General features: G+C 51.5%; 1 protein-coding gene and 1 long non-coding RNA gene across 2 annotated transcripts in view, besides 7 other annotated features; one reads left to right on the top strand and one right to left on the bottom strand.

The window, feature by feature from the left end:
- Positions 8,636 to 9,496: an enhancer, noted in NCBI's record as "H3K4me1 hESC enhancer chr19:3163409-3164269 (GRCh37/hg19 assembly coordinates)". NCBI's record gives its function as "activates a minimal SCP1, AML or CMV promoter by ChIP-STARR-seq in naive H9 embryonic stem cells {active_cell/tissue: H9 hESC(naive)}" and the evidence as "EXISTENCE:reporter gene assay evidence [ECO:0000049][PMID:30033119]".
- The window catches only part of GNA15 (G protein subunit alpha 15), a 27,717-nt gene continuing 17,711 nt past the window's right edge, over positions 9,158 to 19,163 (bottom strand). The window contains exons 5-7 of the mRNA NM_002068.4: positions 16,955 to 17,084; positions 15,026 to 15,179; positions 9,158 to 10,114 (exon numbers count right to left, since the gene is read on the bottom strand). Of these exons, the coding sequence (NP_002059.3) occupies positions 9,888 to 10,114; positions 15,026 to 15,179; positions 16,955 to 17,084 (511 nt within the window). The 3' untranslated portion in view covers positions 9,158 to 9,887. The remainder of the gene's footprint in view (positions 10,115 to 15,025; positions 15,180 to 16,954; positions 17,085 to 19,163) is intronic.
- Positions 9,497 to 10,358: an enhancer, noted in NCBI's record as "H3K4me1 hESC enhancer chr19:3162547-3163408 (GRCh37/hg19 assembly coordinates)". NCBI's record gives its function as "activates a minimal SCP1, AML or CMV promoter by ChIP-STARR-seq in naive H9 embryonic stem cells {active_cell/tissue: H9 hESC(naive)}" and the evidence as "EXISTENCE:reporter gene assay evidence [ECO:0000049][PMID:30033119]".
- Positions 9,497 to 10,456: a biological region, named in NCBI's record as "Sharpr-MPRA regulatory region 13242".
- Positions 10,162 to 10,456: an enhancer, noted in NCBI's record as "tiled region #13242; HepG2 Activating DNase unmatched - State 10:DNaseD, and K562 Activating DNase matched - State 10:DNaseD". NCBI's record gives its function as "activates a minimal TATA promoter and a strong SV40 promoter by Sharpr-MPRA in HepG2 and K562 cells {active_cell/tissue: HepG2 | K562}" and the evidence as "EXISTENCE:reporter gene assay evidence [ECO:0000049][PMID:27701403]".
- Positions 17,159 to 18,116: an enhancer, noted in NCBI's record as "H3K4me1 hESC enhancer chr19:3154789-3155746 (GRCh37/hg19 assembly coordinates)". NCBI's record gives its function as "activates a minimal SCP1, AML or CMV promoter by ChIP-STARR-seq in primed H9 embryonic stem cells {active_cell/tissue: H9 hESC(primed)}" and the evidence as "EXISTENCE:reporter gene assay evidence [ECO:0000049][PMID:30033119]".
- Positions 17,412 to 17,501: an enhancer, noted in NCBI's record as "active region_13726". NCBI's record gives its function as "activates an Ori minimal core promoter by ATAC-STARR-seq in GM12878 lymphoblastoid cells {active_cell/tissue: GM12878}" and the evidence as "EXISTENCE:reporter gene assay evidence [ECO:0000049][PMID:35858748]".
- Positions 17,542 to 17,871: an enhancer, noted in NCBI's record as "active region_13725". NCBI's record gives its function as "activates an Ori minimal core promoter by ATAC-STARR-seq in GM12878 lymphoblastoid cells {active_cell/tissue: GM12878}" and the evidence as "EXISTENCE:reporter gene assay evidence [ECO:0000049][PMID:35858748]".
- GNA15-DT (GNA15 divergent transcript) overlaps positions 17,732 to 19,163 on the top strand; it is a 13,600-nt gene continuing 12,168 nt past the window's right edge. Inside the window, exon 1 of the long non-coding RNA NR_110670.1 lies at positions 17,732 to 17,889. This is a non-coding gene — a long non-coding RNA (GNA15 divergent transcript). The remainder of the gene's footprint in view (positions 17,890 to 19,163) is intronic.

Below are 19,163 nucleotides of genomic sequence, written 5' to 3'. Positions count from 1 at the left end.
GGGCACAGGCATCCCATGAGGGTACAGGCATCCCATGAGGGGCACAGGTGTCCCATGAGAACACAGGTGTCCCATGAGGGGCACAGGCGTCCCATGAGGGTACAGGCATCCCATGAGAACACAGGCGTCCCATGAGGGGCACAGGCGTCCCATGAGGGTACAGGCGTCCCATGAGAACACAGCCATCCCATGAGGGCACAGGCATCCCATGAGAACACAGACGTCCCATGAGGGGTACAGGCGTCCCATGAGGGGTACAGGCGTCCCATGAGAACACAGGCCTCCCATGAGGGGCACAGGTGTCCCATGAGGGCACAGACGTCCCATGAGAACACAGGCGTCCCATGAGCGGCACAGTATCGGCCCTGAGAAGCGGGGGCACCCCAGGGAGGGCAGGGCTGGCAGGAGACGGGGGCTGATCGCAGCACATGCTGGGGCCCCATGGCCCCTCCCTTTGCTTACGGTTCAGTTCTGAAGCAGGACAGTGTCGGGAGGCTCCATGCGAGGAACTGACTGGGGAGGCAGCTGCCTTTTGTCACTGGAGGTCACCAAGCAGAAAGGGGATCTGGAGAGGGATGTGGGGCTCGGGGAGGAGGGGCCGGCAGCTGGGAGGTGAGGCCAGGAGGGAAACAAACAGCCAGGTCTTGCCCAGGCACTGCCCTGCCCAGTGAGTAGACAAGTGAGCCTCAGTCCAGCCTCACATGACTCAGGCACCTACACAGAGAGACATTGTGTGTTCTGAGGTTGAGTGCCTCATGATGGACTAAGCCCTGATCCCAGGCTAAGCCCCCTATGCTTGACTGAGCCCTGCTCCTAGGCCCAGCCCCCCACTCTGCACTGAACACTGATCCAAGGCTTAGTCCCTCATCCTAGACTGAGTCCTGATTGCTGAGTCCCAGGCCCAGCCCCCGTCCTAGACTGAGCCTTGATCCCAGGACCAGCCCCCCACTCTGTACTGAGCCTGCATCCCAAGCCCAGTCCCCATCCTAGACTGAGCCCTAATCCCTGGACTGAGCTCTCATCCCAGGCTCAGTCCACATCCAAGACTAAGCCCTAATCCCAGGCTCAGCCCCCTACCCTGGACTGAATGCTGATCCCAGGCTTGGTCCACATCCTAGACTGAACCCTAATCCCAGACACAGCCTCCAATCCTGGACCAAGACCCCCAGGTCCCAATCCCAACCTCCAACCTAGACTGATGCCTGACCCCAGGCTCAGCTCTGACTCCAAGATGAGCCCTGACCCTGGCTGAGCCCCAATCCTGAACTGAGCCCTGATCCCTGGCTGAACCCTGACCCTGACTTAGCCTATGATAATGGACAAACCCAGACCTTGACCCTTGATCCTGGTTAGAACTTGCTCCTGGACTGGACCGGGCACAGTGGTTCACACCTGTAATCCCAGCACTTTGGGAGGCTGAGACGGGCAGGTAATTTGAGGTCAGGAGCTGGAGAACATCCTGGCCAACATGAGGAAACCCTGTCTCTACTAAAAATACAAAAGTTAGCCGGGTGTGGTGGCGGGTGCTATTCGAAAGGCTGAGGCAGGAGAATCGCTGGAACCCAGGAGGCAGAGGTTGCAGTGAGCTGATCGAGCCACAGCACTCCAGCCTGGGAGACAAGAGTGAAACTCCATTTCAAAACAAAACAAAACTTAATCTAACCATTATCCCCACACTGCAGAAGGGCAGGCCCCTCTTCTAGAAATTCACCCTGAAGACAGGGCTCTAACGAGACCGAGTATATGTGCAAAAGGTCATCGCCTAAACTGCTGTTTGTGAATGCACAACGCTGGTTTCAACCCGAATGTGCACACACAGGACAGAGGTGAATGAATGAACTATGCCACAGTCCAGAAAGGAGGGCTCTGCAGCTGTGCAAAAGAACAAGAACGAGCTCCATGAATGGAACGCAGCGCTTGCCGGGACATGTTGGGATTTTACAATTTTTATTTTATTTATTTATTTATTTATTTATTTAGAGATGGAGTCTCGCTCTGTTGCCCAGGCTGGAGTGCAGTGGCACGATCTCAGCTCACTGCAACCTCCGCCTCCTGGGTTCAAGCGATCCTCCCACCTCAGCCTCTCTAGTAGCTGGGACTACAGGTGCACTCCACCTCGCCCAGCTAATTTTTTTTTTTTTTTTTGAGACGGAGTCTTGCTCTGTCGCCCAGGCTGGAGTGCAGTAGCACAAACTCAGCTCACTGCAACCTCTGCCTCCTGAGTTCAAGCGACTCCCCTGCCTCAGCCTCCTGAGTAGCTGGGATTACAGGCACCTGGCACCACATGCAGCTTTTTTTTTTTTTGCATTTTTGGTAGAGATGGGGTTTCACCATGTTAGTCAGGCTGGTCTTGAACTCCTGACCTCAGGCAATCCACCTGCCTTGGCCTCCCAAAGTACTGGGATTACAGGCGTTTTGTTTTGTTTTGTTTTGTTTTGTTGTATAGATGAGGTCTTGCTATATTGCCCAGGCTAGTCTTGAACCGCTGGGCTCAAGCAATCTGCCCGCTACAGCCTCCCAAAGTGCTGGGATTACAGACGTGAGCCACCATGCCTGGCCTTTTGTGTAGTTTTAAGCCCTATTCGTGCTTTCTATATTGAAAGATAAAATTGATCAACAAGGATGGAGGGAAAAGCTTTAAGATGGAATAACAGTAGAAAACAAATGAACCAAACTGTATTTCAAATGAAAAACGTAACCACATAGAGATAGAAAAGAATCAGCCCGCGGAACTTGTATACACAGTACTCACTCTAAAGACAAAAAGAGGCTGGGCACGGTGGCTCACGCCTGTGATCCCAGCACTGTGGGAGGCCAAGGCGGGTGGATCACGAGGTCAGGAGTTCAGCACCAGCCTGGCCAACATGGCGAAACCCCATCTCTACTAAAAATACAAAAATTAGCCGGGCGTGGTGGCGGGCATCTGTAATCCCAGCTACTCGGGAGGCTGAGGCAGGAGAATCGCTTGAACCCGGGAGGCAGAGGTTGCAGTGAGCCGAGATTGCGCCACTGTACTCCAGTCTGGGTGACAGTGGGAGACTCTGTCTCAAAAAAAAAAAAAAAGAAAAAAGTTAGCCAGGCGTGGTGGTGGGTGCCTGTAATCCCAGCTACTTAGGAGGCTGAGGCAGAGAATTGCTTGACCCTGGGACGCGGAGGTTGCCGTAAGCCGAGATTGTGCCATTGCACTCCAGTCTGGGTGACAGAGTGAGGCTCTGTCTCAAAAAAAAAAAAAAAAAAAAAAAAAAGAAGAAGAAGAGAGACAAAAATAATTGCAAAGAAACTTTGACCTTTATTTAGCGGATTTGTCATTGGGGAACGTATGGGTGGAGCAATTTTGAAACTATCATGTGTTTTACAGGACTGAGCAAAGTAGCAAATACAAAGATATTATTAGGAACTAGGGTCTTTGCTGGGAGAGAAAGATGTAAATATGACCTGGGAGAAAGCAAGAAAGAACCCTTGCAGGGTTAAATAGGACTTCAAGTTTCCCAGCCTGTGCAACACGGCAAGACCCCATTTCTACAAAAAATAAAAATGAAATAACATGGGTGTGATGGCATGCACCTGTGGTCCTAGCTACTTAGGAGGCTGACATGGGAGGATTGCTTGAGCCTGAAAGGTTGAGGCCGTGGTAAGCCATCATTGCTCCTCTGCACTCCAGCCTGGGTGATGGAGAGAGATCCCGTCTCTTAAAAAAAAAAAAAAAAAGGCCTGGCATGGTGGCTCATGCCTGTAACCCCAGCACTTTGGGAGGCCAAGGCGGGTGGATCATGAGGTCAGGATTTCGAGACTAGCCTGGCCAAGATGGTGAAACCCTGTCTCTACTAAAAATACAAAAATTGGACCGGGCACGGTGGCTGACGCCTGTAACCCCAGCACTTTGGGAGGCCAAGGCGGGTGGATCACGAGGTCAGGATTTCAAGACTAGCCTGGCCAGGATGGTGAAACCCTTTCTCTACTAAAAATACAAAAATTAGACCGGGGACGGTGGCTCATGCCTGTAATCCCAGCACTTTGGGAGGCCGAGGTGGGCAGATCACGAGGTCCGGAGATCAAGACCATCCTGGCCACTACAGTGAAACTCCGTCTCTACTAAAAATACAAAAAATTAGCTGGGCGTGGTGGTGCACTGCTGTAATCCCAGATACTCAGGAGGCTGAGGCAGGAGAATTGCTTGAACCCGGGAGGTGGAGGTTGCAGTGAGCCGAGATTGTGGCACTGCACTCCAGCCTGGGTGACAGAGCGAGACTCTGTCTCAGAAAAAAAAAATAATAAATAAATAAATAAATACAAAAATTAGCCAGGCACGGTGGTGACTACCTGTAATCCCAGCTACTTGGGAGGCTGAGGCAGGAGAATCGCTTGAACCGAGGAGGTGGAGGTTGCAGTGAGTCGAGATCGTGCTGCTGCACTCTAGCCTCAGTGACAGAGCAAGACTCTGTCTCAAAAAAAAAAAAAAAGAAAGGATTGCAAATATCAGTGTGAATTCAGGATCTCATGATTTATGCAAAAAACATAAAAAAACCCTGTCCTAACTTTCCACTGAGACAATCCCAGAGCAAGGAGCACCTAGTGCCCAGATCGTGGCTTCTAAAGATCACCTCCCTCCCCCTACAGCCCCTTGCTGAAAGGATCCAGGGAACCTGGGAGGAAGGGTTGATTCCAAGAGTAGGGCAGGAGATGAGCCTGGAACATCTCAGTGTGCCAGAGAGGGAGGGCGTGATCACAGAGGGAGGAGGACCTGGCAAAGAACACAGGAGCCAGCTCGGAGGGGCTGCTGCCGGCCAACCCTGGGTTAGAAATGGATGGATGACCTCAGCACATGACCCAGCAATTCTGTCGCTAGGGTCACACTCAAGAGGAATGCAAGCATGTCCACTCGAAAACTCACACCTGGCCGGACACAGGGGCTTATGCCTGGAATCCCCGGGGAGGCTGAGGCAGGAGGAACCCTTCAGCCCAGGAGTTGGAGGCAGCAGTGAGCTGAGGTTGCACCACTGCACACCAGCCTGGGTGACGGAGCAAGACCTTGTCTTTAAGGGGAGTAAAAAACAAACAAAACAAAACAAAAAGGCCAAATAGTAAATATTTTTGGCTTTTGGGGCCAGACAGTATCAGTGGCAGTTACTCAATTCCATGGATGCAGGAACAGCCTGCGTAGACACAGGTACATGAATGGACATGACCGTGTTTCAATAAAACTTTACAAAAGCAATTGAAGTAGTATTTGGCCTGTGGGTAGCAGTTTGCCGGCTCCTGACCTGGATGAAAAATACAGGGGAATACATTGTAATGGTTTTGTAACTTCTGTAGGTTTCAAATATTTTTGCACTAAAAATAAGCGAACAAAAGATGTGTTTCCGCAAAGACTTGGAACCAACCCAAATGTCCATCAATGATAGACTGGATTAAGAAAATGTGGCACAGGCCGGGCGTGATGGCTCACGCCTGTAATCCCAGCACTTTGGGAGGCTGAGGCGGGCAGATCACAAGGTCAGGAGATCGAGACCATCCTGGCTGACACGGTGAAACCCCGTCTCTACTAAAAATACAAAAAATTAGCCGGGCTTGCTGGTGGGCGCCTGTAATCCCAGCTACTCAGGAGGCTGAGGCAGGAGAATGGCATGAATCCGGGAGGCGGAGCTTGCAGTGAGCCCAGATTGCACCACTGCACTCCAGCCTGGGTGACAGAGTGAGACTCCGTCTCAAAAAAAAAGAAAAAGAAAATATGGCACATATACACCACAGAATACTATGCAGCCATAAAAAAGGATGAGTTCATGTCCTTTGTAGTGACATGGATGAAGCTGGAAACCATCATTCTGAGCAAACCATCACAAGGACAGCAAACCAAACACCGCATGTTCTCACTCATAGGTGGGAACTGAACAATGAGAACACGTGGACACAGGGTGGGGAACATCACACACCGGGGCCTGTCGTGGGGTGAGGGGAGGGGGGAGGGATAGCATTAGGAGAAATACCTAATGTAAATGACGAGTTAATGGGTGCAGTAAACCAACACAGCACATGTATACCTATGTAATAAACCAGCACAGTTGTGCACATGTACCCTAGAACTTAAAGTATAATAATAAAAAAAAAGACAAGATGTGTTTCCTCACTTGGTGCTCAGATTGTGGTCTCTAAATATCATCTCCCATTCAAAGGAAAGAGGGCTCCTTGGAGAAACGATCCAGTGCAGATCTGAAGCTGACAAAGTAAAGGATGAGTTAAAAGCATCTCGCTGTGCCCAGTCAAAAAACTCTTAAGACCCACTGGGTCATGGCTGGGCACAGTGGCTCACGCCTGTAATCCCAGCACTTTGGGAGGTCGAGGCGGGAGGATCACCTGAGGTCAGGAGTTCGATACCAGCCTGGCCAACATGGCAAAACTCCGTCTCTACTAAAAATATAAAAATTACCTAGGTGTGGTAGCGCATGCCTGTAATCTCAGCTACTCAGGAGGCTGAGGCAAGAGAATCGCTTGAACCCAGGAGGTGCAGGTTGCAGTGAGCTGAGATCACACCACTGCACTCCAGCCTGGGTGACAAGAGTAAAACTCTGTCTCAAAAAAAAAAAAAAAAAAGAGGAGGCTGGGCGCGGTGGCTGACGCCTGTAATTCCAGCACTCTGGGAGGCCAAGGCGGTTGGATCACGAGTTCAGGAGATCGCGACCATCCTGGCTAATACAGTGAAACCCCGTCTCTACTAAAAAATACAAAAAATTACCCGGGCGTGGTGGCGGGTACTTGTAGTCCCAGCTACTCAGGAGGCTGAGGCAGGAGAATGGCATGAACCCGGGAGGCAGAGCTTGTAGTGAGCCGAGATCGCATCACTGCACTCCAGCCTGGGTGACAGAGCAAGACTCCGTCTCAAAAAAAAAAAAAGAGGAAAGAGACTTAAGAGACACAGCACCCAAGCGCCACGCACGGGCTTTGTTTGGGTCCTGACTCCGACCAACCAATGGTGAAAAGACATCCGCAACGTATGATCGCCAGGGATGAGCCACTTTGTCATGATGAACCCAGTCAGGTGATGCCCTGAGTGGCTCTGACATCCCTTTCTGTCACCAGCAAACCTCACACCAACCCAACCTGAGGAACGGCTCAAGAAACAACCAAGCAAAACTCCTCCGACGTGTCACAAAGGAAACTGAGGCACTGCCCCAGAATGAGGAGAGGGAGGCAGCTCATGGCGATGTGGGATCCGGGATTGGATCCTGGTCCAGGAAAGGAGGACGGGAGCGAGAACCCGCCACATTCTAGTAAGGTCTACACACAGGTTCGTTCATAGGACGCTCGCTGATGTGAATTTCCTGGGTTGTACTAGGGTTACGTAAGAGGTAAGAGGAAGCTGGGTGGAGGGCATTTGGGAACTGTGTACAACTTCTGCAACTTTTCTGTGAGTCTAAAATTCTTACAAAACAACAACAAGAGGCAGAGCGCGGTGGCTCACACCTGTAATCCCAGCACTTCGGGAGGCCGAGGCGGGCGGATCACAAGGTCAGGAGATTGAGACCATCCTGGCTAACACGGTGAAAGCCCGTCTCTACTAAAAATACAAAAAATTAGCCAGGCGTGGTGGCGGGCGCCTGTAATCCCAGCTACTCGGGAGGCTGAGGCAGGAGAATGGTGTGAACCTGGGAGGCGGAGCTTGCAGTGAGCCGAGATCACACCACTGCACTTCCAGCCTGGGTGACAGAGTGAGACTCCGTCTCAAAAAAAAAACAGAAAGATAGGATGTGGTGAGAAGGGCTGTCACCACTGAGGTCTTCCTCCCTGAAACCCATCACCCCAGTCTGACCAGCAGCAAAATGTCAGACCAAACTCAGTGGAGAGGGTTTCTATAACATACTTTTATATTTATTTATTTATTTATGTATTTATTTATTTATTATTTGAGACAAGGTCTCACTCTGTCGCTCAGGCTAGAGTGCAGTGGCAGGATCTTGGCTCACCGCAACCTCCGCCTCCCGGGTTCAAGCAACTCTCATGCTTCAGCCTCCCAATTAGCTGGGATTGCAAGCATGCACCACCACGCCCGGCTCCTTTTTGTATTACAAAATACCTTTTATAGGTTCAAATGTGGCTCCCCTACAAAGATATGATGAAGTCATAACCCCCGGTATCTGTGAATGGGACCTTATTTAGAAATACGGTCTTTGCCGATGTAATCAAGTTAAGATGGGGATGACAGGCTGGACCCTGATCCAGTGTGACTAGTGTTTTTATAAGAAGAAAAATTAGGCCAGGTGTGGTGGCTCATGCCTGTAATCCCAGCACTTTGGGAGGTCGAGGGAGGCGGATCACTTGAGGTCAGGAGTTTGAGACCAGTTTGGCCAACATGGTGAAACCCTGTCTCTACTAAAAATACAAAAATATGGCCAGGTGTGATGGCACACAACTGTAGTCCAAGCTACTCAGGAGGCTGAGGCAGGAGAATCACTTGAACCTGGGAGGTGGAGGTTGCAGTGAGACGAGATTGCGCCACTGCACTCCAGCCTGGGCCACAGAGCGGGACTCCATCAAAAAAAAAAAAAGTAGCCAGGTGTGGTGGCGGGTGCCTGTAATCTCAGCTACTGCAGAGGCTGAGGCATGAGAATCACTTGAACCCAGGAGGCAGAGGCTGCAGTGAACCGAGATCGCACCACTGCACTCCAGCCTGGGCAACCAAGTGAGATTGTCTCAAAAAACAAACAAATAAAAAACCACAAATGTGTTCAACGTAGGAACAGGCTCCTGCCTCTGTCAATTCCAGGTGTGTGAGCTTAGTCAAATTACTCCACTTCTCTGCGCCCCGGTTTCCTCACCTGTAAAGTGGGGTGCTACGGCTTGCACCCCAGAACACTGCCCTGAGGATAGTAAGAGGCCTTCTCAAAGCTGGGTGGGGGCTGCTACTGGAATTTCAGGTCAGTAGCCACGGAGGAGTCTGCTTCAATGTCCCCCCCAGCCTGGGAGGGAGGTTGGACTCCACGTCCCGGCTTGCGGGACTCACAGCCTCCACAGTTCTGGGTACCATGGCCAGGACAGGTGGGTAGACAAGAAGTATAACTTTTTTCCTTCCTACTCCACGTTGCTCCCCGCACTGTAAGCACTGCCCCCGGGACACGTAAGCCGAGAAAGGAATGCAGAGGGGATAAACAGGACGCTGGCGACGCAGCCTCTAAGAAATCTTTAATTTCAGCCCGCACGGAGCCCTGCAGAAGGTGAGGGAATAAATACAAAAGGTTAAGATGCAGCATGCCCAGCCCCCAGCCTGCAAGGGATGGGGGGATGCTTGTGGGCCGCGATTTCTCTCGTCCGCAAACCGGGGCAGGACACGCTGTGAGCCACCGAGCTCTGAAAGTGACAGTGTTTTCCAGCGGTCTGTTACCCCTTGCAAAGGGAAGTCCCTGCACCCCTAGTCCACAGGTTCCTGGAAGGCGTTCCTTCTCCTGTCCACTAGAGTGCGCCAGAGTCCACGCCCGAAGGCGCCTGAAGGCTCTACTAGCCCCATCCCAGGGTGTGCGTCACCCACAGAGGGTCCCAGAACCCTGCCCAGGAGGTGACACGCCCGGAGATGGGGCTCCTGAGAGATGCCCACCCACCCAAGTCCTCAATCCCCTGATTTCTTCACCTTTTCATCCACCCTGGCATCCCAAATGGCCGTTTTGCTCCTTCCCTTTCAAAGGAGGGAAACTGAGTCAAGCAAGGGCAGGAGTACCCTGGGGGGCGGCTGTCCTGGTGAGAGGCAGAGAAGAGAGCGGCCAGCAGCGGGCCGTCCGTCCCCCGACTCCCTTGCGTGTGGGCCGAGGCTGGAGAGATAGACCAGGGACACTAGGGGTCCCTGCAGCCACTCCCACCTCCCACCCGCCCGCCGGTGCCGCCTGCCCCAGGTGGGGCCTGGGTCACAGCAGGTTGATCTCGTCCAGGTAGCGGGCGAGCACCGAGTCCCGCACGTCCTTGAAGACCTTGCGGATGTTCTGTGTGTCTGTGGCACATGTGTAGTGGCTGAAGAGGCGTCGGGATCGTGCGCCCTTCTTGCTGCCCTCGGGGCCGTCCACGCACCCGGTGTACATCCTCGTGTACATGTCCAGGATGAACCTCTTGGCTGCCTCAGCATCCTGCTTAGGGCCTGGGGAAACAGTGTGGGAAGGGGGTGAGGACCCTCCCTCTTTGGACCCAGGGGGCCTCTGGAGACCCTCTTCCCTGTAACCAGCACTGAAGGGACCCAGGGATCGCGCCTGTCATTTTTCTGTGCGTTGACTCCATCTTTTGTAGTCATAGCTGGTCACACGACTCCGGCCCAGCCAATGGGAACACAGGAGATTGTCTCACACGAGTCATGTGACCTGAAATGGACCAATGAGACCCAGCTCTGGGACTTCGGGCAGAACTGTGTTAAAGAGAGACACTCTCTTGGCCTCGCTTACAGCCAGTGCAGTTGGAAGACTGGAATCGCATAGACAAATATCCCAGGACTGTGAAGATGGCGGCATCAAGGCCAAACGAGGGGAAGAGAGTCCTCTTTTTTTTTTTCTTGAGATGGGGCCTCGCTCTGTCGCCCAGGCTGGAGTGCAATGGTGCAATCTTGGCAGTAGCTGGGATTACAGGCGCCTGCCACCATGCCCAGGTAATTTTTGTATTTTTAGTAGAGATGGGGTTTTGCCATGTTGGCCAGGCTGGTCTCGAACTCCTGACCTCAAATGATCAGCCCGCCTTGACCCCCCCAAAGCGCTGGGATTACAGGCGTGAGCCACTGTGCCCAGCCCTGCATAGGGTTTTAACATGAAGATTAAAGAAGCTTTGTAGAGTGCTTCCACCAGTGCGGTAGATGTGTTAGCTGCTGTTATCAATTTTATTATTATTATCATTATTATTATTATTATTATTTTGAGACAGAGTCTCACTCTGTCACCCAGGTTGGAGTGAAGTGGCATGATCTCAGCTCACTGCAACCTCCACCTCCTGGGTTCAAGCGATTCTCCTGCCTCAGCCTCCCGAGTAACTGGGATGACAGGCCCCCGCCACCACACCCAGCTAATTTTTGTATTTTTAACAGAGATGGGGCTTTGCCATGTTGGCCAGGCTGGTCTCAAACTCCTGACCTAAAGCGATCTGCGCGCCTCAGCCTCCCAAAGTGTGGTTTCTTATTATTATCACAAATATTATTTAGCACAGTGGAGGGTAGGGCTGGGAGTCAGCAAAGAGTGCACCAGTCACTTGTGCTGGGAGACAAGGATGAGTCATGGGTGGTTCCCTTTGACCTGAATGAAAAAAATATCTACCTTATCCTGTTCCCAAATTCTCTAAACTATGAGCTGATTCCCAGGGCTGCTTGGCAAGGAAGAGGGGCTATCCAGGCCACCATCCTGGAACAACTTGACGTCTATCTCCCAGACCCTGAATCTTGTGGGTATAATTGGCTAAAATTGGCCTCATGGGCTCTGAGACATGACAAGACCAGGGATCAAAACCTGGTGACTTCACCAAAGTTTATGTTTACTGATTGTGGACCTGGTGTCAAGCATGTACTAAGGACTCATCTACTATGGTTGCTTGTATATTGAGGTGAACAGTGTCCCCCAAAATTCATGTCCACCTGGAACTTCAGAATATGACTTTTAGAAATCGGATATTTGCAGATGTAATTAGTTAAGTTAAATTAGGTCATGGCCAGGCATGAGGGCTCACGCCTGTAATCCTAGCACTTTGGAAGGCCAAGGCAGGTGGATGACAGATGTGTGGTTGGGCCCAGGAGTTCCAGATCAGCCTGGGCAACATGGCGAAACCCTGTCTCTACAGAAATATACAAAAATTACCCAGGTGTGGTGGTGTGCGCCTGTAGTCCCAGCAACTCAAGAGGCTGAGGTGGGAGGATCACCTGTGCCCAGGAGGTTGAGGCTGCAGTGAACTGTGATCACACCACTGGACTCTAGCCTGGGCAACAGAGCAAGACCTTGTCTCAAAAAAAAAAAAAAAAAAAAAAAGTGGTCATACCAAAGTATGGGCCCTAAATCCAATGACTGGTGGCCTTATAACAACAGGAGAGGACACATAAAGGCATGGTGAGAAGACAGCCATGTGAACATGGAGGCAGAGATTGCAGTGATATGTCTACAAGCTAAGGATTGTAGGCCACCACCAGAAGCTGAGAGAGAAGCATGGAATGGATTTTCCCTTAGAGCCTCCAAAAGGAACCAACCTTGCCAATACCTTAACTTTGGACTTCTGTTGTTTCCTGTTGTTTTAAGCCACCCAGTTTGTGGTACTTTGTTACGGCATCCCCAGGACATGAAGGCAAGTTATCTCCAAGATGGCTGCCGTCACTTCCTTCCCTCCCTGTATGCATGTGTCATGCTGCCTTCAAGAGATGGAGTCTCTTTCTTTTGAATCCGGGCTGATATGAGTGATGTGCTTGACAAATAGAATGTGGCAGAGTAACGTCTGACATTTCTGAGGCTATCATGAGAAGCAGCTTCCACCTGGGCTGAAGTCTGTCTACCCTGAGGCAGCCATATTGTGAGTAAGCTCAAACCATGTGAAGAGGCTGTGGATCATGAGGCCCCAGATGGAGACAGAGAGAACAGGGGAGGTGGAAAAGGAGAGACAGACTAGGAGAAAGGGGAGGAGAGAGAGATGAGATGGGAGAGGGAGGCAGGGAGAGACACAGAGAGAGAGGCCAAGAGTGCCAAGAGCACCAAGGCACCAGACATATGGGGGAAGAAGCCATCTTGGAAGTTTATCTCCAATCCCATAGAGCCCAGCTGATGTCACATGGATCAGAGATGAACTTACCCAGCTCAACCTTTCCCAAATTCCTGACCCACAAAATCATAAGCAAAGGAAAATGACCAGTTTAAGTCACTAAGTTTGGGGATGGTTTGTTACTCGGCAGTAGCTAAGCAGGACACCCGCCACCACACTTTATCCTCACAGTGGTGTTCTGGGGAAAGTGCTAGTGAATATGTACCTTCCCCACGTTGGTCCCTGGATTAACCACAACTCTGCCTCCCCTTTGTAAAATATACTAAGTGGTGCCCAACACTAGATGGTGTTTCTCTGTAGTTGCCCTGTGGCCCTTTCACCCTCTGGATGGACTGAGAGTTTGTTCCCAAACCTGTTTTTGCCCATTGTACGTGTCTTGATTCATATGTAATTAAAAGAAACGTTATGCAAATCTGTAGCTACAAGTGCCGCATGAAAGAAGGTCATTGTATTACAAAACTAAGCTGTGTGCTTTGGAAACATTGTTCAAAGCTCTGCTTTAAAAATTAAAGAGAAAGGCCAGGTGTGGTGGCTCACGCCTGTAATCCCAGCACTTTGAGGCCGAGGCGGGTGGATCACCTGAGGTCGGGAGTTCAAGTCCAGCCTGACCAACATGGAGAAACCCCGTCTCTACTAAAAACACAAAATTAGCCGGGGTGGTGGCTCATGCCTGCAATCCCAGCTACTCGGGAGGCTGAGGCAGGAGAATCCCTTGAACCCGGGAGGCGGAGGTTGCGGTGAGCCGAGATTGTGCCATTGCACTCCAGCCTGGGCAAAAAGAGCAAAACTCCATCTCAAAAAAAAAAAAAAAAAGAAAAGAAATTAAAGAAAAAATAGACTGGGCACGATGGCTCACGCCTGTAATCCCAGCACTTTGGGAGGCCGAGACAGGTGGATCATGAGGTCAGGAGATTGAGACCAACCTGGGTAACATGATGAAACCCCATCTCGACCAAAAATACAAAAAACTAGCCAGACGTTCTGGCGGGCACCTGTAATCCCAGCTACTCGGGAGGCTGAGGCAGCAGAATGGTGTGAACCCAGGAGGCAGAGCTTGCAGTGAGCTGAGATTGCGCCACTGCACTCCAGCCTGGGCAGCAGAGCGAGACTCCGTCTCAAAAAACAAACAAAAAAAAATTAAAGAAAAAATGGATTAAAGAAAAAGAAATTGCTATCCAATTAGGGATAGATGAGATCACTATGAAAGATTAGAAAAAGAAACGTTATGGCCAGATGCGGTGGCTCACGCCCGTAATCCCAGCACTTTGGGAGGCTGAGGTAGGTGGATCACTTGAGGTCAGTTCGAGACCAGCCTGACCAACATGGTGAAACCCCATCTCTACTAAAAATAGGACAGGAAACTACTAAAAATTAGCCAGGCTTGGTGGCACGTGCCTGTAATCACAGCTACTTGGGAGGCTAAGGCAGGAGAATCACTTGAACCGGGGAGTTGGAGGTTGCCATGAGCCAAGATCGCACCACTGTACTCCAGCCTGGGTGACAGAGTGAGACTCTGTCTCAAAAAGAAAAAATAGAAGAAAGAAAGAAAAGAAAAAGAATCATTCTTAAAACCTAGGCAGATTCTGGAAATAGTAGACAATCTTTCCAGAAGTGCTTTACAACAGTGACCTCTACATAGCAAACCCATGCTTGAAGGATCTTGGCTCAAACCCCAAATGTTGGCCAACAAGCATAAAATAAAATGTTTGGCCGGGCATGGTGGCTCCTGTCTATAATCCTAGCACTTTGGGAGGCTGAGGCGGGTGGATCAGGAGGTCAAGTGATCGAGACTATCCTGGTCAACATGGTGAAATCCCGTCTTTTCGTACTAAAAACACAAAAATTAGCTGGGCGTGGTGGCGCGCACCTGTAGTTCCAGCTACTAGGGAGGCTGAGGTAGGAGAATCGCTTGAACTCTGGAGGGAAAGGTTGCAGTGAGCCGAGATCACGCCACTGCACTCCAGCCTGGTGACAGAGCAAGACTCTGTCTCAAAAATAAATAAATAAATAAAATGTTTAAGGTGTACGTGATATGCTACGTGTTTTTAGAATTCCTCACTTTACTCAGTTCCAAGGGCCTCTGCTATTTTATTCCATTCCACAGAAGGGAAAACAGATTCAATGAGGTCGGGCAGTGGATGGAGCTGAGTCTAGAACGCGGGTCTGATCCTATGTGAAAGTTCCGGTGACTCCAGGCTGAAGTAGAGTCTGGATTAGCATCTCTCTTCGGAGCTGCTTTTGGGAGTTGAAGGGTATAGAAAGTTCTAGAATTACTTACCCTGGAAACTGGGGAAATAGGTAGCCAGGTGGGAGGTGGGGATTTTCTCCTCCAGGATGTCGGTTTTGTTGAGAAAGAGGATGACGGATGTGCTTTTGAACCAGGGTAGTTCCAGGATAGTCCCAAACAATGCGAGGCTCTCCTTCATGCGGTTCTGTGTTGGGGGCAGAAGCAGGTTAGTGCTTCAACCAGCCAGGTGGGACAGGAAACCCTCCCATCGCGGAGACGGGGCTGTTGGCTCCAGGGGCATGGGCTCACCCCTATCTGCCTGGCTGGGGCTGAGGCGGGTGTGCCCGTGTTTCCATATGGACAGCTGCCTGGGTGTGCCTGACATGGTTTTGTGCCTGTGCTGGTTGGAAGTGTGTCCTCCCGAAATTCATGTCCCCCCAGAGCTTCAGAGTGTGACCTTATCTGGAGAGAGATTCTTGAACTCCTGGCCTCCCAGCGTGCTGGGGTTATAGGCATGAACCACTGCACCTGGCCTGGAGATAGGGTCTTTGAAGAGGTCGTTAAGGTGAGGCAATACTAGAATACGGTGGCCCTCAAGTCCGTGACTGCTGTCCTCATAAGAAGAGGGAGACCTGGCCGGGCGCGGCAGCTCACGGCTGTAATCCTAGCACTTTGGGAGGCCAAGGCGGGCAGATCACCTGAGGCCAGGAGTTGGAGACCAGCCTGGCTAACATGGTGAAACCCCGTTTCTACTAAAAATACAAAAAATTAGCCGGGCATGATGGCAGGTGCCTGTAAACCCAGCTACTCGGGAGGCTGAGGCAGGAAAATCGCTTGAACCCGGGAGGCGGAGGTTGCAGTGAGCTGAGATCGCGCCACTGCACTCTAACCTGGGCGACAAAAGCGAGACTCCATCTCAAAAAAAAAAGTACAATAAGGTCTCAAATGCCTTGTGTTATGGGGTACATCATATTTCCCCAAAATTCATACGTTCAAGACCTAACCCCCTAGAACCTCAGTTTGTGACCTTCTTTGGAAACAGGGCCATCACACGAGGAATTAACCCAGATGAGGTCGTACTGGAGTAGGGTGGGCCCTGATCCTAGACGACTGGTGTACTTATTAAAAGAGGCTATTGGCTGGGCACAGTGGCTCACGCCTGTAATCCCAGCACTTTGGGAGGCCGAGGCGGGCGGATCACGAGGTCAGGAGATTGAGACCATCCTGGCTAACATGGTGAAACCCCCTCTCTTCTAAGAATACAAAAAAAAAATTAGCCGAGCGTGGTGGCGGGTGCCTGTAATCCCACCTACTCCGGAGGCTGAGGCAGGAGAATGGTGTGAACCCGGGAGGCGGAGTTTCCAGTGAGCCGAGATCGCGCCACTGCACTCCAGCCTGTGCGTGTGCGTGCATGTGTGTGTGCACGCATGTGTGTGCCTGTGTGCCTGTGTGTGCGTGTGTGTGCCTGTGTGTGCGTGTGCATGTGTGTACTGTGTGTGTGCATGTGTGTGTTCATGTGTGTGCGCATGTGTACATATGCGTGTATTGTGCACGTGAGTGCATGCAAGTGTGCATGTGTGTGGTGCATGTGTGTTCGTGTGCATGTGTTGTGCATGTGCACTGCGTGTGTACATGTGTCCCGTGTGTGCACGTGTGTATGTGCATGTATTATGCACGTGTCTGTGCGTGTTTGTGTGCATGCATTGTGTATGTGCGTGTGTGCACTGTAGTGTGTGTGTGTGTGTGTGTGTGTGTGTGTGTGTGTGTGTCTGGGGTCCTGACCAAACAAATGCTGTAGGTCTGTGTCTTGGGTTGCTGCAATCTGACCACAAAAGGCTGAAGGGTCAAGTTCATAGCCATGCTGGGCACACACAGGCCCGTTCAAGAGCAGGGATCCCTCCCTTTCTGCACCAGAGCTTCCTGCTCAGGTGAGGGTCCCTGGGCCAACAAGTGGGCAGGGCGAGGGAGGCGGTGGCGCACCTCCTGGTTGTTCTCCTCCAGGCACTGGTCGTATTCACTCAGTGAGGCCAGGTAGATGAGGGCGATCACGTTCTCGAAACAATGGATCCATTTCTTACGCTCTGACTTCTGGCCCCCGACGTCCACGATCCTACAGGGAACCGAGGTGCCCCCTTTCAGAGCTCAGGAGCCTGCTCCGTGACACCCCCAACCCCCATCACGTCTGGGATATGCCAAGATCCATAATAGCGACAGCAAGAATAGGTGCTAGCCTCTCGTGGATTTGCCATGTCATTCCCGCGAGGCAAGGATGAGTCTTACGCCCATTTTACAGATGAGAAGCCTGAGATCCAGGGAGGAGCGGGGACTTTCCCAAGCTTCTACTGTGCTGGGCTGCCTGCTTTCTACCCCCATATTAGAGGGGAGCAGGTTGGACAGATCTGAGATGTGCCCTGGTGCTGGCTGGGCGACCCGGCGGAGGAAATTGCCAAACATCTCCAAAACTCAGTTTTCCCATCTGTGCTATGGGGCTCCTGTGCTCTGGCTGGCCATGGGCATGTCCAGTGGCCACACAGATGGGAATGAGGGCTGTTCCCAGAGCACACGTCCTCCCCTCCATCTGTGACTCAGCCCCACGCACCGTAACAAAAGCCTGAACCCTGCCCCCACCTTCCTGTTCTCTCTCTTCTGAGAAATGTGGGTCGCTGATAACCATCTGTGCGTCATTTCCCTGGGGATGCAACCGTTACTCAGGAAGTCCCAGAACAGAGGCTTTGGACGGGCCCGGCCCAGGGCCTCAAGCAAGAAGGGACTTGCCCCATTGCACAGGAGGGGAAACCGGGACTGATGATGAAGCAGTTAGGCTGCAGCTGCTGGATGTGTCTCCTGATCCCTGAGACCCACTCCTCCCATGCATCCTCAGAGTCCCTCAAACCCCACATCCAGAGCCAGACAGGGTAAGCAGCCGTCGAGAGGGGGCTCTGGAGACTGAGACGGGAGTGGGATCAGCAACTGACCAGTTGGGAACTGTGGGCATCACCTCTCATCTCGGGTCTCAGTGTCCTCTGAGCCCTCACTCCATTCATTCGTCTCACTCCTGGGCCACACCTAAAAATCACTTCCTTGGCCCAGACTTCCCCATGATTTCCCAGCCTCTACCTTCACTCCTAAACTTTTATCCACCCACCCACCCCATTCATCGATTTATTCACTCATCCATCCACCCATCCACCCACCCACTCATCCATCCACCCATCCAGCCATTCACTCATCCATCCATCTATCCATCTACCCATCTATCCATCCATCCATCATCCATCCACCCACCCATCCATCCACCCATCCAGCCATTCACTCATCCATCCATCTATCCATCTACCCATCTATCCATCCATCCATCATCCATCCACCTGTCCACCCATTTACGAAATCCACCCACCGACCCACCCATCCATCTCTCCATTTACTCATCCATCCATCCATCCACCCATCTGTCCACCCATTACCCAGCTACCCATCCATCCATCTACCCATCTATCCACTCACTCATCCACCCATGTACCCATCCACCCACCCTCCCACCCATCCACTCATCCATTCATCCACTCACCCATCCACCCATTCATCCATTCATCCGTCACCCACCACCCATCTACCCATTCATTCATCCATCCATCCACTCATCCACCCATCCATCCACCCATTCATCCATCCATCCATCACCCACCACCCATCTACCCATTCATTCATCCATCCATCCACTCATCCACCCATCCATCCACCCATTCATCCATCCATCCATCCATCCATCCCACCCATCCATCCATCTATCCATCCACCCATCCATCTATTCATTCACTCATCCATCCATCTATCCGTCTATCCATCTACCCATCTATTCATCCATCCATCATCCACCTGCCTGTCCACCCATTTACTCAATCCACCCATCCATCCATCGCTTCATCTACTCATCTATCCATCCACCCATCTGTTCACCCATTATCCATCTACTCATACATCCATCTACCCATCTATCCACTCACTCGTCCACCCATCTACCCATCCACCCACCCACACCCCCATCCACTCATCCATTCATCCATCCATTCACCCACTCATCCATCCATCCTTCACTCACCCATTCACCCATTTATTCATTCATTCATCCATCACCTGCCACCCATCTACCCATTCATTCATCCATCCATCCACTCATCCACCCATCCAT

The sequence above is a fragment of the Homo sapiens genome, chromosome 19 (assembly GCF_000001405.40).
Source record: "Homo sapiens chromosome 19, GRCh38.p14 Primary Assembly".
Lineage (NCBI taxonomy): Eukaryota > Metazoa > Chordata > Mammalia > Primates > Hominidae > Homo > Homo sapiens.
The sequence above is the reverse complement of the archived record's forward strand: the minus strand, read 5'-3'. Positions and strand labels throughout refer to the sequence as shown.